This window comes from Homo sapiens, chromosome 11, assembly GCF_000001405.40.
Source record: "Homo sapiens chromosome 11, GRCh38.p14 Primary Assembly".
NCBI lineage: Eukaryota > Metazoa > Chordata > Mammalia > Primates > Hominidae > Homo > Homo sapiens.
This window is the reverse complement of record NC_000011.10, coordinates 45,866,255-45,885,019: the sequence shown is the minus strand read 5'-3', so window position 1 is coordinate 45,885,019 and position 18,765 is coordinate 45,866,255. Positions and strand designations below refer to the sequence as shown.

The 18,765-nt window shown below is 50.5% G+C and overlaps 1 protein-coding gene across 2 annotated transcripts in view; it reads right to left on the bottom strand.

Moving 5' to 3' along the window:
- The window catches only part of CRY2 (cryptochrome circadian regulator 2), a 36,127-nt gene continuing 19,137 nt past the window's right edge, over nt 1,776-18,765 (bottom strand). For both annotated transcript variants that reach the window (NM_001127457.3, NM_021117.5), the window contains exons 6-12: nt 17,268-17,408; nt 15,203-15,514; nt 14,816-14,967; nt 14,488-14,690; nt 14,086-14,178; nt 12,787-12,928; nt 1,776-4,106 (exon numbers count right to left, since the gene is read on the bottom strand). In NM_001127457.3, coding sequence (NP_001120929.1) covers nt 12,789-12,928; nt 14,086-14,178; nt 14,488-14,690; nt 14,816-14,967; nt 15,203-15,514; nt 17,268-17,408 — 1,041 coding nt within the window. In that variant the 3' untranslated portion in view covers nt 1,776-4,106; nt 12,787-12,788. The remainder of the gene's footprint in view (nt 4,107-12,786; nt 12,929-14,085; nt 14,179-14,487; nt 14,691-14,815; nt 14,968-15,202; nt 15,515-17,267; nt 17,409-18,765) is intronic.

The following is an 18,765-nucleotide window of genomic DNA, read 5'->3' as shown; positions in this document are numbered from 1 at the left end:
AAAGACTCTCCCTAGAGGCTGTCTTCTCTAAAGATTGACCCAAATCTCTCTTCAGCCCCAAACAGCTACTCGTGGTGAATTGAGCCCTCCAGGCTTCTCGGTCTCTCGCCAGGACCTTCCCAGCATTCTCCTTCTTAGCGCCTCAACTGCATTTCCTGCAGAGCACCCCTCTTCTGCACCCACAGACACACATTCTAAGACTTGGCGCCTTTCCCTCTCCTCCCACTGTTGACTTCTTGGGATCATTTTGGTTGTTTCTGTTCCCTCTGGCACCTCCATCCCTGCTAGGCTTTGGCCATGGCTTCTTCCTCATTGTCTCTCCCTCGAGAGGGTGTTATTCCTGGGCTTCCAGGCCTTCAAGTCCCTGAGTTTCCCGATTGAGTTATTTCAGAGTACGGACTGCCAAGGCTAGGGCCTTAGCTTTGCTGGGTCGTAGAGCCTCTGGTCAAACCTCATTGGCTTCTCTGGTCTCTCGAGAGAACCCTAGAGACCCTGTCCACAGGGCAGAAAACGTGCAGAGCAAACTGTGCCACAACTCGTGGAGTCCTATTTGCAAATCTGGACTGCCGACCAGTCATGCTGGCCCCTTTCCTTCAGTGCGGCACCTAGCAAGGAGCTGGAGGCACCTTCCGTGCAGAAGGCAACCTCCGACCACCAGCCCTGAGAATATCCCAATACCTAGAGCCAAAGGTCATGGCTGCTTCTCTTTTCCCTGTCCCTGGGGCCCAGAGGGGTGGCCACTACTTTCTCAGCTTTCGTGATCAGGCCCCTTTCACTGGGCCCTCACGGTAATCATCTGCTGCCATGGTGCCTGGCTTTTCCTCTCAGGAAAGCAGTCTTGCCATCATGGCTACTAATCGTTCCTTAGAATGTAGACCTGCCTCAGCTAGGGAACATCCTTAGCAGGTCAGGGGTGGATGTAAAGGACAACTCCCTCTTCCAGAACCTTTTGCTCAAGAGCAAAGTTATCTTAGCTCCAAAGACCAACCCAAAGCCATTATTAGAGAGAAGCCAGAAGGGCAAGAAGGAAAGGCAGGCCCAGGTCTTGGTATGAGGGAGGCCAGCAGGAGCTTCAGAGCAGAGCCAAGAATGAGACAAGTTCCCAAGGCAGGTTCCTCCCCTTTTCTCCTTCTTCACTCTGTGCAGGCCAGACTGTGATATTCTTGGGCCTTGCCTGGGCCCCTTCCCAGAAAGTTGGGGTGTGAGCTAATAAAGCTTTCAGTCCAAGGCTAGCATCCCCTAGCATGGAAGCAGGGCACACTGCACAGAGAGGGGCCATTCTCTGGCCAGGAGACAAAGCCAGCATCCAGGCGCCCTAGGCTTGGCTGTGGGCAGATCTCAACCACCTAGTCACAGCCAGAGAGCCTGCATCCCCTCCTCACCACAGGCTGCAGCTTAAGTGGCTGCATTGAATTAAAGGATGGATTGAGGGCGTGGAGCAGGCCCTGCACTGACTGACCCCCAGCCTGGGAGGGGGTTTAAGTGGGCTGCAAGGCTGGGTGGCACTGCAGGATGGCACTTAGGACCCTCACTCTGGGCCAGAGTGCTCTGTACTATTTTGGCCAATTGACCCCCAACTCTTGACCAAGCTCTGGACCAACTCTTGACCAAGCTGCTCCAGTCTGCTCTGGCTGCTCCCCCTTCCTAAGGAGGAATAGGAGGCTCCTGACTCCCACAGAACCAAGATGGGGTGGCCGACAGCTTCATTCAGGCTCAGGCTTACCAAAACCCTGGTTCCCAGGCCTCCCACAAGATTGACGACAGCACAAACTTACTCAAGACAGGTCAGACATTTATAAAACAAGTGAATATTCACAAACAAATTGTGGGAGAAACACACCTTCCCAGCAATAGAAAATCTCTATAAAGTGCATTTTGCCTGCAACCATCTCTTCCCCATGCTGGCCCTTGGGTCAGGATTTGAGGCACTGTTCCGAGGGAGCCCTCAGGGCCACCTGAGCTGGGAGAAGGGAGGCATGAAGCCACCATGGAGCTCCAGGCTACTGGACATACCCTCTCTACCCTGCCCTTCCCTCTTGGCTCCAGGAGTGCACTGCCTGACTCCACTGGCAGGTTGATCTGGGAACGGGCTGACATGCTAGGGATGGTGGAGAAGTAGGCGGAGGTGGTCCTGCCAACCTGTACCTTAGGGAAGAGAGCCAGCAGCAGACAGGCAGGAAAAGGAATCATCCTGCTACCCGAAGGCGCTGCTAGTGAATACTAAATCTGGGCCTCGGCCTTTGGCCTTCCCACTCTCAGATTTGCCCTTCCAGGTTTGCTTGACTCTCTTTCTGGCAGTGGCCCGATTCTCTTTCCTCTCGACTGGGGCTGAGGGAACAGGGAAGCCCCCAACCCAATGCTCTGAATGCACACCATCCCCTGTGCCCTGCTCCCCTCCCACGATGATGGGACATTTCTAGTGAAGGTGACATACGTACAACAGTTGGACTCTAAAGGCAGCTCTCTGGCTGAGAAAACCTGAGGATATCTCAGGAAGAAGCCTGTCAGTGTGATGGACAGCTACAGGAGATGGGTCTGACCCCAGGGTTCTGGTCCAAGGACAGAGGACAGTGAGGGACAGGGCTGGGGCCAAAAGAATTAACAGATCTGAGGCTAGGAAAGGTCACAGGGGAGGTAGAAAGGAAAAGGCCCAAAGGCCAGCTTAATGATACACGTGAGGACAAAAATCCAAACAGGAATCAGCCTCATAGCCACACACACACACACGTACCACACACGCACACACACACACACACTTTGTGGCTCAAGTGCAGGCCACAGGGTGGAAGGAAGACTTGCTTTAGTTGGCCACCGTCGTCCTTTTGCATGACATCTTTCTCAACACAGGCCTTTGGCAGTGGGAAGGAAGAGGTGGGAGGCACAGGCCACTCCTGGAATGCAAGGATTGGCTTCTCTGGGTCAAACCTCCCACCTACTGCTCCTGGAAGGAATGGTGTTCTGGGTGTAATCTCTACTTGGACTTTTGCCAACTGCCCCTGGCAGTCCCCATCCCTGAGTCCCTCTGCCTGAGTCCTTGGAGCTCAGCTACTGGGATAGCTGACATGGCAGTCTGGATGCTGACAAGTCCAGGACAGGCCCTGGAAGCCAACAGAATAAAGACTAGAATGGTTTCCCTGGCTGGGTGTCAGCTGTCCTCACTGGCAGCACTGTGGTGCCTTGGAGTGTGGCCAGAGAAACCAGGGGGCCTTACGCCACTGCAACCTGGTCTCCTCCTGGTAGAGTGAGTCAGTTTGACCCTTGCCCCTTCACAGCTCCTGGGTAGGCTCTGAGGCTGGCTCTTAGCTTCTGGGGAAGGAACAATGACAGCTGGGATTCTCTTTCTAATTTTAGGTTCTAAATCCTGAAAAGGTAGGTGTGCTGTCTTAGGCTCCTATTACAGTACCAGGCATACCCCACACCAGTCAGGTATCTGTGTGTACTTCTGTAGGGTGGTGGAAACTTTTTAGATCTGTCTATGGCCTCATGCTCAGTCCCAGAAGCCCAAGGAAGGGCCTGGGACTGAGCCCAGTAGCAGAGAATTTTAAAATAAGAAACAGAGGCCAGGTGGCTACGTCTGGACAGCATCCATCCACTCCGGCCTGCTCAGCCTCCAGGTCAGAAAGCAGGAACTCAGCAGGGCTCTGGCTGCCTCCAGAATCCCATGCTTTGGACAACAGCCAGAACTGCTGTGCTCCTGCTCCACAGCCTGACGTGAGGAGGGAGGGAAGGAGGTCTAGGGAGGCAGATGCCAGAATCCCAGCTAGGGTCCTACCACTACGTTCTGTTCAGACAAGGCAGCTGGCTTGCAGGAACAGGTCTCAGCTGAAAGTCACTGCCATAACCTCGAGCCTTGTGTCTGGAGGCCGGGAAACAGCACTGGCGTGCTACAGGTACTCCCCCAGCCCAGGCAACATTCAGAATCATGAGTGTCAACAGATGCATGCACACACAAACAGGCACACCACTCCCTCCTCTGCACACGCGCACACACACACACATGCTCGCTCTATCTCTGCCCGGTGATCAGCTTCTCTGCAGGTTGTACTCTGCTGCTGCGGTGGCTGCTTGGGCACCCAGGCTTTGCTCACGGAGCAAGGGCTCTGCAGCTGGAAGAGAAAAACAAGTGCAAAAGGAGCATTCAGGAGGCTGCTCAGTTGCCCAGGGACACAAGCTCCTCTGGCTGCTTCTCTGGGGACATTCAGAGCGGGACCTGAGAAGAGCTGAAAGAGTGAGCTGAAAGGGCCACGGTACCTGGGGACAGGTTGTTGCTGGGATGCCACTGGGATGAGGGAATACTGCCCCTCTGAGGTGCTGATGCAGGACAAGCTCCCCACTGCAGGCCCTCCACCCAGGGCTGCGGACAGCAGAGGAGGAGGAGGACAAGGCTATGTGAGAGTCACGTGAAGCCCTGGGGGATACTTGCTCAGATATGACAAGGGCAGCTTCTGAATCAAGGCACAGCAGCTGCTGCCAGAGATGGAGAATCAGGAAAAAATGGCTGGAAGAGAAGCCCGCTGGGACCAGTAATTTTGAAGAGTAAGGCAATGACTGAGTTTACAATCAGCAGGTGAGCACATTTCCACATATAGATGAAAGCACCCTGGCACAGTGCTGGAAGATTGTGGGGGCAGGAGGGAGAGAGGAGACACAAGGATGACTCATTTTAAAGATTTATGACATCCGGAATCTGGGGCAAAGAGAAGAAACAGCTTCATCCCTGATAATAAAGGAAGGACAGAGTGCGCCTGTCACAATGCTGAGTTGTCTGTTTAAATAGGTTTAGTGTGTCTGGGAGTCTACAGAGACACACAGCGTCCCATTAAAAGTTTGTGCAGTTTAAATGTGGGTGAGGTAGACAATAAGTAGGCTTACTAAGCCTGCCGTGGGTCAGGTACTATACACTTGTGCTGTGGCTGAATTCTGTCCCCCACAAAATTCTTATGTTGAAGTCCTAACCCCCAGTACCCCAGAAGGTGACTGTATTTGGAGACAGGGTCTTTAAAGAGGTAATTAAGTTAAATGAGGTCATTAGTGTGGGCCCTAATCCAATATGACTGGTGTCCTTAAAGGAAGAGGAAATTTAGACCCAGACAGTACAGAGGGAAGACCATGTGAAGACATAGGGAGAAGATGGCTGTTTATAAGCCACAGAGAGGAGCCTCAGAAGAAAAGAAGCCAACCCTGGCAACATTTTGATCTTAGACTTCCAGCCTCCAGAACAGTGAGAGGACACATTTCTCTTGATTAAGCCACCCAGTCTGTGGTACTTTGTCATGGCAGCCTGAGCAGACTAACACAACTTGAGATCCCAGTAACCTTGAAGCTTGCCCTCCATTTTTGTAGATGAGAAAACAGAAACCAGAGAGGAGAAGGAACTTGCCCAGGACAACAGCATTCATAAGTGGCAGAGCCAAAAAAGGAAATCCACATCTGTCTGATTCTCAAATCTGTCTTTTTACTAGCAAGTAATCTCTATACGATAGTATTGCTCATTAAGACTTTTAGAGAAGAAGACTTTTAGAAGAAATTCAACATGGCAGCATGAAGACTAATATCCAACAGACATACATGTGAATTAAGCTGTTATTAGAAAAGGGAAAATGCTCTTAAAGTCAAAGACATTGGAGACAAGGATTCAGTATCATGCGATGCTTTTAAGGCCGCATGGTAAATCTGAAGCAGATTTTATCTGATGATAATTTATCTGGAAGCTGGGCAAAATAAAGAGCAGACATAAGAGTGGGTGCCTGTATAGGTCAGTACTGTGTGTCTTATTCTTTTTTTTTTTTTGAGACAGAGTTTCACTCTTAGTGCCCAGGCTGGAGTGCAATGGAGTGATCTTGGCTCACTGCAACTTCTGCCTCCCAGGTTCAAGCGATTCTCCTGCCTCAGCCTCCTGAGTAGCTGGGATTACAGGCATGTGCCACCACACCTGGCTAATTTTGTATTTTTAGTAGAGATGGGGTTTCTCCATGTTGGTCAGGCTGGTCTCTAACTCCTGACCTCAGGTGATCCACCCACTTCAGCCTCCCAAAGTGCTGGGATTACAGGAGTGAGCCACCGAGCCCGACTTTTTTTTTTTTTTTTTTTTTTTTTTTTAATAGATGGAGTCTTGTTCTGTTGCCCAGGCTAGAGTGCAGTGGCGCGATCTTGGCTCACTGCAACTTCTGCCTCCTGGGTTCAAGCAATTCTCCTGCCTTGGCCTCCCAAGTGGCTGGGATTACAGACACCTGCCACCACAACTAATTTTTGTACTTTTAGTAGAGATGGGGTTTCACCATGTTGCCCAGGCTGGTCTTGAACTCCTGATCTCAGGTGATCCGCCCCCCTCAGCCTCCCAAAGTGCTGGGATTACAGGCGTAAGCCACCGCACCTGGCTGTGTGTTTTATTCTTTAAAATGTGTGTTATTTTCAATAATTTTTCCCTTTAAGCTTGTACTATAATAACCTAGCCATTTTTTTGCTACAAATGTATGTATTATTAAGGTGTACATGTATTTATTGAAATGTGCTGATTCTGAGTATATACTCCACACACAGGGCTCTCTCTGGCCCCTGTTGTTAAACTAAAGAGATGGCTATTCTTCTGAAATAGAAAACTTTCAGGATTGCAGGATATACCACAAAAGGTCCTCCTTGCCCAACACCTCCATTTTTTTTGTGTGTGTTTTATCCATTTTCAGGGATGGGGGAAGATAAAGAGTGCATGAAGATTCCTTAGAATAACTGCTGTTAATCTGGGGTTCCTGGGCCTTAAGGAGCCCAAGGATAGGCTTTGGTGCAGTCCATGGAGCCTCTGGAGTGATGTGCACATTCCTCTCTGTGTGTGAACATATGCAGTTTTCTGGGTATGGGTTCCATCCTCCATCGACTTTCCAAAGTGGGGAGTAACCCAAACAGGGTTTAAGAACCAATGCCTAAGCTTAGAAGATAAGAGGGTGAGGTACAGTCAGGTGGATATAATGATAACAATTCAGACATATGTTGACTTCGGCACCAGTTAGTTTTGGGCAGGCTCATGAAGGGAGGGGGCAGTGTCCTGGACTCAGATAAGCCCTAGTCACCCAAGTCCCTCTATGATGGTTTCAAAGCTACCAATGCAGAAAACCAAGGTTTAGAAGAACCAACTTGGCCTCGCCTACAAAGCTAGCCAAAGGCCTGTTCAACTAGTTACTCGAGCTGCTTGATCAGCAGATAACTAGTTGGTGCCATGCTCTTGTCCTCAAGCTAGGGCATGCGTCTGTAGAAAAAGGGGTCTGGGGAAATCAAATGAGGTCTTGCAAAAAAATGATGATAGCAGGACTAAAGGGAAGGGAAGAACAGCCAAGGGGAGGCACCAAGGGAAAATCAACTCATAAAACATTCACTGAAAAATCAATCTCTTAGTTGTCCAACTCTTTCAACCTGTCATTGATACAAGAAACACAGTGGCGGCTAGAACAAAAAGCGTTAACGACTGTCTCCCTCTGCAACCCAATGTTAGTTAGCATGGCCTCCTGGGTACCTTTGCCCTCACATCCCTTCCCATCCATTAGATGCTATCAAGAACCCAAGTGTATAAGTCTGCCCGTCCCTATGCTCCTCGCCCTGGAGGGGTGGATGCACGTGTGCAGGCATGAGTTTATGCTGGCAGAGGGTCCACAACAGCTGATGGTTTGGAGGAAACTTTGTTTGCAGACTGTCACCGAGTCTCAATGTTTCCCTCTCCCCATCATATTGGGCAAGGCACAGTGCCCAAGAGCTTGAGAAAGGCAGAGGGTTCGCTACCTGCTTCCAAGTGAGGGTCAGGGAAGTACAGCTGGGCCTGGATGGGGGAGAGAGCTGAAGCTCTGAGCTCAATCTCATTCCTCAGGTCAACCACACCTTTACCCTTCCCACAGCATGCAGATCATGCAAGAAAGTGGAAGGGACAGCCATCAGTCAACGCCTACTTATGAAGTGCCAGGGAAAGCGCTAGGGGATATGAGTCTAAACTTCTGATTTTAAAGGCAGGAACAGAGAATCCTGCCTCTGATTTTAAAGGCAGGAACAGAGAGGTGAGACTATTTGGGTGGAGTCTCACAAGAGGCAAGTGGCAGGTCTGGGACACAGACACTAGTTTGAGTGTAATGCTGGCAGGTCTGGGATGCAGACACTAGTCTGAGTATAATGCAGGGCTCTCTGGCCAATGCCACACTGCCTTCACTTCCACTATTTAGCATTTTACCAATTGCTAGTGCCTTTCACCTTACAAGGACAGAGTATACAACTAAACTAGTGTCAAAAAGACATCAAGGAGAATCCAGAAGTCAGGTTTTACTCGATGATCTACCCAGTCAGGCTTACTGCAGAGCTAACAAAAGCCCGCGGGGGAGGGGAAGAGGTGATCCTTGGCCGGGAACCTTTTGTATTCAGTGGGGCTTCTCTCCACAGATCAGTCTGTACCAGCAGAAGGGCAAATGGAACACGTGAGCTGTTCTCCCCATGGCAAAATAATTGGACCAATGAGAGAAATCTGTACACAATTCAAGGCTAATGGAATCCGGAGCAGTCAGCAGCTTTGGGGATTATGGGGAACCATTTGAAACAATAGCTATTTGGGGGCTGGCTTGTTTTTCAGTTTAGTGAATGCTGTAAAATAAAACTTAATGCAGAACAGATAGCTGGTGTGGATCTGAGGTAAGTGTAGAACCTACTGATTGGAGGCCATGCTTTCCTACCAGATCAGTTTAAATTTTAAGTGACTGTACACCCTGTACACTGCCACAGGCCTGAGGCATTAGAAAAACAGAATCCAGAACTATAGAGCTCAGAGCTAAAGGAGACCTCAAAAGGCCCAGGATGTAGCCTTCAGGCTGATGAAGAATGACTATTCACATCTTACACCTAAAGCATGGCAGAAAGGCTATGGATCCAGCCCAAAGTCACACAATTAAAAATTACAGAGGAAATGGAGGAAAGAGGGGCAAGTCTCCCTGCCACTCCCCTCCCCCAACCCAATATAATATGATACCAATTTGGGCTACATAGCCACAGCTCTGTGGTCCATTCAGCTTAGGGTGCTGGCTCTGACTGAAGTAACACCAACATAATCAAAGACACCCAGAGAAGAAAGTGCAAGATGATAATGTGATTCCATTTGCATAGTGCATTTTACATATTCAAAGACTTTTTCGATGGGTAGGGCAGGTGACAAGATGCTATTATCACCATTTTACAGCTGAGGATGCTAAGCATCTTTAGGCCCAGGTGCCTCTGCCAGCACATGGTGAGACATGGTGTACTCTTCTTCTCTCAGGATTTCCAAAGAACACAGCTGTTCCTCCCTAGTCTGTCTTGGAGGGAAGTCTGCACCACCCCAGATCCTCTGACCTCTGCACCCCCAACCTTCACAGTCTAGCCTGGCCTAACTCCCCACTGAGCCACCAGTGGAGGGCAGAGTAAACCTCAAGAATCAGTCCTTAAAATCCCAGTAGGCTGACAATCTTCTGGACTCCAGGGCAAGAGACGGGCATTTACCTCTGCATCCTTGTCATGTCTTCCCTTGGAATCACTGTCAAGCCTCTCAGCTGACTTTCTCTCCCCAACCTGTTCCTCTGCAGGTCCCAGCCCAATGCCTAATTCATCCTCCCAAAATGCCAATTTGATCATTCCTGTTCCAAAATGTTTCTTCACTCCCAAAGAGTACATAGCAGACTCATGTGCCTGCCATTTACAACCCTCCATAATCAGACCCAACTGTAACCTTGTGTCCTCTACAATAATAACAATACCTACAATAATAACTACTGCTTACCAAGCACTCATGACCCACACACTTGAGTAAGTGTCTTGCCTATAAAGCAGTCACCATTAGCTGTCTACCAGTATCCACACTTCCTGGTTAACAGAACCTAAAATGTGTTCAGGAGGCAATGGGCTTCACCCAGAAAATGGATTATGATTGGTCTAAGTCAGTGATTCTCCAAGTATGGTCCCTGGACCAGCAACCCTTATAATACAGAACTGCAGCCTCTTCTGTGCCCCGACCTTACTTTCTTACTCAACTTTATTTTATTGTTTTCATAGCACTGATGGCCTCCTGAAATTTTTTTTTGTGAGACTGAGTCTAGCTCTGTCACCCAGGCTGGAGTGCAGTGGTACGATCTTGGCTCACTGCAACCTCTGCCTCCCGGGTTCAAGTGATTCTCCTGCCTCAGCCTCCGAAGTAGCTGGGACTACAGGCACCTGCCACCACGCCTGGCTAATTTTTGTATTTTTAGTAAAGACAGCATTTCACCATGTTGGCCAGGCTGGTCTCGAACTCCTGACCTCGTGATCCACCTGCCTCAGCCTCCCAAAGTGCTGGGATTACAAGTGTGAGCCACCACGCCCGGCTGGCCTCTTTAAATTTTAAATATTTATTTGTTTACTGTCTGTCTCCTTCCACTAATATGCACCCAAGGGGGAAGTGATATTGCCAGTCTTGTATACAACCATACCCTCAATGCCTGGAATGGTGTCTGGCAAAACATGAGCTCTTGACATGTGTACGGAAGGAGTGCAGCTGCCCTTGCTGTCCCTTCTCTTTCCTCTTTGATCAAGAATTGATGGCTGAAGCTGGGGCTGCCACCCAAGCCCAGACCAGCAACACTATCTCTGGGCCCCTTGTTAGGTAAGAAAAATAAGCCCCTATTTGTTTTAGCCACAGTAATTGAGCTATTATTAATAGACCCCCACATTTCTAGCTGACACATACACATTTAATCTTTTTTTTTTTTTAGACAGAGTTTTGCTCTTGTCACCCAGGCTGGAGTGCAATGGCACGATCTCGGCTCACTGCAACCTCTGCCTCCCGGGTTCAAGTGATTCTCTTGCCCCAGCCTCCCGAGTAGCTGGAATTACAGGCATACGTCACCATGCCAGCTAATTTTGTATTTTTAGTAGAGACGGGGTTTCTCCAAGCTGATGAGGCTGATCTCGAACCCCCAACCTCAGGTGATCCACCCACCTCGGCCTCCCAAAGTGCTGGGATTATAGGCATGAGCCACTGCGCCCGGCCCAGATTTAATCATTTAATTCTTGCAACAGCAACCTAATTTATAGGTGAGGAAACTGAGTCCCATAGCAGTTAAGTCATTTGTACAAGATCACATAAACCTTCAGCTGTTTTTCTTGTCCTAAGCGCCCTGCTCACTGCCTGAATCCAATTCACTTTTCAGGCCCCCTAGCGCAAACTTCTGTGATATGTTCCCTGATTGTTCCAGACCACACCAGCAGCCTTCTGCTAAGCTTGTATAGTCTGTATCATTTGTCCAGGAATTCTAGGTTATTGTTCCTTTTTATCTAAGCAGACTGTTCAATCCTTATGGATGGACAGCACATCACATTTTATATGTTTAATGCTCCCCCTTCTTCACCCACCTGCTGGCAACAATTTCATGTTGAATTGGACACCATTAGCTTACTGAGCAACCTTGACCCAGACATTTAACCTCTCTGTTCTTTGGTCTTCTCATCCGAAAATCAGAGTGTCAGCCTGGCAAGTTCCAAATTTGTAATACAGGATGAACTTTGCTTAGTATCACAGAGCTAAGAGATAACTGAGAGAGTAGTAGGTTGCTGGTACTCCCAGGAACAAGATAGCACACATCTGTCCATCAGCAATGTCTATGTCAAAGAGCCCAGGAAAGGTGAAGGGTGCAGGCATCAAATGCCCATCTCAGTGAGCACACAAATCCAGACACTCAAACCAGATGGCTGCGGCCTGGCCCTGAAGTAAGAGGGATCTGATAAAAAGAACCTATCAGCTCCATGGAGAAAAATCACCCTCCAATCTAATGACGAAGACATGGTGCATAAGGAACAGCTTGAGATGATGACTCAGAGGGGACAGGAATTTACATTTCCCCAAGAGTGGCATAAAAGGCCCTTCCTCCCTTGGGAAAGGAGAAGCCAGTGTTTTGATGACATTCAGGAGGCTTCCAAGATGAGCGCTGCCAGGGAGGTGCAGAGCTGAGGCCACAGGATGGGTGAGAAGGGAGGAGAGGCCGCAAAAGGCAAAGATGATGACAGACTGGGTCTACTGGTCCTCAGGCAGGGCTGGGCCAAGTAAGACACAGCACAGCCCTCTGTCCAGGCTTCTCAAGGTCAGTGCTGCCCTCCACTGGCTGGCCTATAGAACACAGCCTGTCGGAAAGCAGGGGGCCTGGAGCAGCCTCAGACCCTGCAATGCGCCTTTTCCCCGCTGCTTCACACGCAGGTCTCAGCTTTCTTTCTCTTGAGTGTGACTCATTTTAATAGGTAGAAAGCGCCACCCCTCAGCCCCCATGCCTCCCTTTTTCCCTTAGCTGGCAAAAAAATACAAAAGGGCTTGACTTTTAAATCTCTGATAAAAGTCAGAATGGTGGGATTTTTGAGCTGAAATCCTAAAAGTCATGCAGTCCCACCAGATTATTATTATTATTATTATTATGTTTTTAGAGATGGAGTCTCACTATGTTGGTTTGGCCAGGTTGGTCTTGTACTCCTGGCCTCAAGCGATCCTCCCACCTTGGCCTCCCAAAGTGCTGGGATTACATACATGAGCCACCATAGCCGGCCCAATGGTAAAGGTCACACAGATATCAACCAGAAAGTACTCATTCCCTAAGCCAGGATGGAACCCGGCTGCCACTGTAAAATGGTAAAGCTTTAGTGGCTGAGCATTGGGTGGTCCCACCAGATTTTCATCTAGTTTGCTATGTTTCAACCTGCAGCTGGCAGGGCAGTAGGCCCCCCCACTCCCAACTTCCTTCCTGAGGTTGAATCTAGGCTGCTGTCACTCACTCTCAGGCATCCTTGCTCGGCAGCTCTGGGGTTGGCAACTCTGCCACCCGGGCCCGTTTGCTGAGTTCTTCACCAGGTGGTTCCTCGGCTGCTTCCAGCTTGCGTTTGGGGGATGCTGGGCCACTGGGTAGTGGTCTTGGGCCTGTAGGGAAGCGTGTCAAAGGGTCACACAGACTGTGCATGCAGCCAAAATGATCCCACACTATGCAGCAGCAGCTCTTTAGGGGACAGGGAGCACACTTATCAATGGAATGCCAGCATGCTGCTCCTCAGACCTGCCCCTCGGCCTTGCTTTCAGCAGTGACTTTGCCTGGAAATGTCCAAGGAGGACATGACCAAGCAGGCCTGCTGGTAGCAGGACCAGCTTTTGGGCCCCAAATGGCATGGGCTGTGGCCAGAGACTGATTTGGCCTGCCTGCTGTCCTGCTTTGAAGGTGAGGCATTCCCTCTGCAACCCTGAATCAGCCTCCCCAAGCAGCAAAGAGCAGGGCCCCTGTGGAGGAGTCATGCTGCCCATGGAGGCAGCCTAGCTGGGCCAACTAGAAAAACCCGTGTTCTTCCCATCTCATGTTACTCATCTTCATCCCCAAGAAGGGAAGAGGCTCCGAATGCAGCGAATCTGTCCAGTCTTTCTCCTTGCGGCCACCACCCTGTCTGTGCTGCCTCCTCTCTGGCCTCCCTGTGCCCGCTCCGGCCTACACTGTCCAATCTCCACCCAGCAGGCCAGGGAGCTTTTTCAGACCTAAGTCCAATCATGCCCTGCCCTACTGACCATCCTTCAGTGCACTGAAGGCTGAATCCTAGTCCTCGTCTCGGACATCAGGCCTGCCACATGCTGCTCATGCTGTATCTTGTCCTCATCTCATTCCAGCTCCTCACTGGGACATGCCGCTACACTGACCTCCCTTCGGTTCCTTGAATGGACTAAGCTCGGTACTGTTTGTGAGCTTTTTCTTGCTACTCCCTTTGTCTGGAATGTTATTTTCTCAGTGTGTGGCAGGGCTGGCTCCTGCTCATGACGTGGGTCTCTGCTTAACAGAGGTGTTCCCTGACTGCTCCAATCTCAAGTGACACAGAAGAAATCCTTCTTTCCCAGTCCCTCTGTCAAGATACTCAACTTTCTTTTCCTCCAAAGCACTTGTTATCTGAAATGATCCAACTTGGTTTCTTTACTATCTGACTGCCCCAGGTGGAATATAAGCTCCACTGGGCAAGGCCTCCTTCTGGCCTCAGTCCTGAATGACTGAAGTGGTGGCACAGGCCACAGGAGGCCACAGGAGGTTGGTTGCTGCTGCTCACCTGCACTGCTCATGCTGCCAGCCTGGCTCGAGCTGGGCTCTGCCACAGGGTGACTGAGGTCTTCCACACAGGAAGGGACAGATGCCAGTAGACCTGGGAGAGAGGCGAGGAGTAATCAGAGTGCCGTCTCGCAGGATTGCAGAGGGCTACAGGGCAGGATGAAGCAAGTGGGGGTGGGGAGGGTAGGAGCAAGACACTGAGGTTCCATTTCCTCCCACAGCCCCACAACTACTCAGGAAGGCCCAGTTCATCCCAGCCTGCAGTGTCCCATACCCAGCGAAGGTGTCAACCTGAAAGACAGCACTCAGTCTCCCTTTGCAAGTATCTGGACATCCCCATCTGGCCCCCTGAGCCTGTAGGTGCTGTCCTTCCCTTCAGTGAGCTAGGTGTTTGTCTCCTTACAGAGTCCCCGGTAGCGCGAAAGCTGCTGGTAAATCTGCTTCATTCGTTCAATGTTAAGCCGGCTGGTCTCGGCATGGTTGACGATGGGCCGTGGGTAGTCCACACCAATGATGCACTTGGCTGCCTTCTGAATTGACTCTGGGGCATTCCAGGGCTCATAGATGTATCGAGAGGGGAACGCTTTCAATTTGGGCAGGTATCGCCTGAAATAAGATACACCAGATGACCCATCAGCATACCCAGACCCTCCTTCAAAAGGCCCAGGGTATCCCATCCTAGTAGGAGGCCACAGTGGTCAGAGGCCAGAGAGCCTGGTCTGTATCCTCACCTGATGTAGTCCCCACTGGGGTCCGTGCGACGGCCAAAGCCCACAGGGCAGTAGCAGTGGAAGAACTGCTGGAAGAAAGCACTGCAGGACAGCCACATCCAGCTGCCTGCGTTCACGCTGAAATCTGCATCCAGGAGCAGCTCATCAAATACCTAGATAGGGGAGGGGATGATCAGCCTCCTTGGGGACATGCAGCCATGTTTTTTCCCAAGTCACCACAGTGCCCCCAGGAGCCAAAACCCTTCCATTGAAGGCAAGCCACAGAGGATCTGGAGGGGATCTCCTGGACCCAGAAATCCCACCTCATCCCTCAGCCCAGAAGGGGGCTGCCCTTTGACGGGCCTGACCAGAGGGTACAGGCCAGCTTTTCGTTGAGAGAGCACTCACCCGGACCCCGCTCTCCCAGCTGACCCAGAGGTCCCCGCGGGTCAGGAAGCAGGCCACGGCATGCCGGGCCAGGTGGTGGATCCAGCCCTCCTGCCTCAGTTGGGTCATGATGGCATCAATCCAAGGGAAGCCTGTCTTGCCCTCAGCCCACTTGGCCAGGGCCTCAGGATTGCGGTCCCAGGGGATCTGGATGCAGATGGGGTTCCCCTCCATGCGGTCAAACCTGGGGTTGTTGGTAGCTGCCGTGTAGAAGAACTCTCGCCATAGGAGTTGCCCAAATAGGGAGAGGGGAGGTGTGCTGTTCCGCTTCACCTGAGAGGTAGGGGTGGCACATGGATACAAACACTCGCCCAGCTCTTAGCATGGTGCCTCTCAGGTCTCTTCTACAAAGGAATCTGGGCCCTCCAAAGACCTAGTGGCTCAGCTGCCAGATGTGGAGGGACTATCCCCTAGAAGTGGCACAGCATGCCTGCATGTGAAACACCCAGGCCCTGCCTGCACTGTGCCACTGCTCTGAGCAAGAAGAAAGCTACAGAGGGCCAGGCAGTGGGAAGGGGCCTCACCACAGGACTCTGCACTAGGATTCAAACTTCCCAAGACTGGTCATGTTCCTTGTCCTCAAGAGTTCCCTGTTTGGCTCCACCTTCTAGAAAGTCAAAAGGAATTTTCCTATCAGCACACATGAAAAATGCTCAGTCTAGATTTTGGTTGAATAAATTATACACACAGCCTGGATCTGGGGCCATAAGGTAATTAAGAAATCAGACCTCCAAGCAAATAATGACTTCCCTAAAGTCACAAGATTACTCACCAAACTGGCAAAGCTATCCCATGCCACAAAATCTCAATAATGGCAAGGATGAGGAGATAACATTTAAAAACCTAGATACAGCCAGGTGTGGTGGCTAGCATCTGTCACTTTGAGAGGCTGAGGTGGGTGGATGGCCTGAGCCCAGGAGTTTGAGATCAGCCTGGGCAACATGGAAAAACCCAGTTTCTACAAAAAAATACAAAAAATTAGCCAGGTGTGGTGGCATGCACCTATAGTCCCAACTGCTGGGGAGGCTGAGATAGGAGGATCACCTGAGCCTGAAAGGTTGTGGCTGCAGTGAGCTGTGATCATACCACTGTACTCCAGCCTGGGTGACAGAATGAGATCCTGTCTCAAAAACAAACAAAAAAACAAATGTAGACACAACGGCTAGGCATGGTGGCTCACGGCTGTAATCCCAGCACTGTGGGAGGCCAAGGCAGGACAATTGCTTGTGCCCAGGAGTTCGAGACCAGCCTGGGCAACATAGCAAGACCCTATCTCTACAAAGAATGTAAAAAATTAGCTCTACTTGAGAGGCTGAGGCAGAGGGATTGCTTGAGCCCAGGAGTCTGAGGTTTCAGTGAGCTGTGATCAGGCCACACTACACTCTAGCCTGGGTAACACAGCTAGACTTTGTCTCTTAAATAAACAACAGAAACAAAAAACATAGGCACAAGATGAGGTGATCCCTCTGAATGCTGACTGTGTTGCCCTCTCTCCTTCTGGGGACAGTTAACACAGGCTTATTTGCTTCTTGTCTGTATAGCACAGCCCTGTGTGCAGCCCCTCCACACCACTCCCTCCATCACTGATGGGCAACTGCTGTTCCTGGACTCCCCTTTTGAATGCTGTGGACACAGCTCCAGAGCGGGCAGCTATGCTCTTCCACTTCAGACTGGCTCCAGCCTCACCCTCTCCATGCCTCTCACCCTGGGGACCTCGCCCCTGTCCACCAGCTGCCAGAGGATATGCCACCTCTAGGGTCACACCTGAGGCCTGCTTTTCTGCCTGTCCTTCTGCTCTACATGATGGTCTGGGCTTCATTCTGGTGGGCAGTTCACTCTGTGCTTGGCTCTGCCCTCTTGGATATTGAGTCTTCTCTCCTCCTCCGGACTATCTGCACACACTTAGGCCCTTCCAGGGGCCATAGCCCAACCCCCACCCACCAGTGCCTTTTTTAGGGTGACTGACAAGCCCAAAAGGCCTGGCTGCAGGCCTTAGGTGCAATGTGGGCAGGTATGTCCCCCTTACCTTTTTATACAGGTCCCACAGGCGGTAGTAGAAGAGGCGGCAGGAGAGACAACCAAAGCGCAGGTAGGGGCTGAGGCCTGTGGGGCTGGCCAGGAGGGAGTTGGCGTTCATTCGGGGTCTCTCATAGTTGGCAACCCAGGCCTACAGCAGAAAGAGAAGGTGGCAAAAGGAAAGGCTTGGATGTAACAGAGGAAAAAATGGAGGCATTGGGTGGTTAAGGAATCTGCCTACGGTCACAGAACAGCCAGCCATGGAGCCATGGAACACTGTGCTTGTCCAGCCGATTTTGAGACGGAACCACCATCAGACCAAACAACGAGTCTATGTCATTCTCTGACTTGCTCTTTAATTTGTGGGGTGACTGTGAACACGTTGTTACTTCCCTCAGCTACGTATCTATTAAATAAGAACAAAATTTCCAATCTTCTGTGGATTAAAATGAGATATGAAAGAATTCTGAAAGCACTGAATGAACTCTCTAATTATACAGCAGGAAACAAGGCTTCTATGTTACAGAAAAGAATATCTCAGTCCCTTCTCTAGTCACTAGCGGCCCTGAGGTTGTATCACAGACACCAGGGACTTCGCATTATTGTTCAACAGCAGCTGGGGAAGGAGGAAACTTCCAATCCATTCCTGGGGACCAATGGAATCATTCATTTCTGGGGCCATGTGTCATATAACATTACTGGTCATGTTTTTATCATCACTGGTTGCTGGCATAGGACTTTACTTTCCTGACTTGCTGTTCCATGCAGTCTCTCACGACTTTTTTTATTTATTTTTTTTTCTTTTTTGAGACAGAGTTTTGCTCTTGTCACCCAGGCTGGAGTGCAGTGGCGTGATCTCGGCTCACCGCAACCTCCACCTCCCGGGTTCAAGGGATTCTCCTGATCGCCCACCTTGGCCTCCCAAAGTGCTGGGATTATAGGTGTGAGCCACTGTGCCCGGCCTATTTCCACTTTCTTAACTCCCAACATCCTCTCCTCCTCTCCATGATACTGTTTCACAACCTTGACTCTCTTCAGCCTCCTGAGTAGCTGGGATTATAGGCACCTGCCACCACACCTGGCTAATTTTTGTATTTTTAGTAGACATGGGGTTTCGCCATGTTGGCCAGGCTGGTCTCTAACTCCAAACCTCAGGTGACCACAAGGCTGGTTCCCACAAGAGTCTCCTGTGACTTCTGTGCCACTGAGTCCTGCAGGCACTTTCTGACCTTGTATTTTGGGATCTCTCAGCAGCGCTATACCTGCCAACTGTGCTGTCTTATCCTCTTGATTCCTTGGCCTCTGTGACTCCACATCTCCTGGTATCTCCCAGCTGCCTGGCGCTCTTGGTCTTTCATCAGCTCCACCTCCTCTGCCTCTCCCTTAAATGTGGGTACCCAGGGCTCAGCTCTAGGTTCTCTACTCAACTGTGTGCCTCAGCAAGCTCATCCAGGCCCATGGCTCCCAGTTCCACCCCTTTGCAGACAACCACCACATCCATAGCTCTA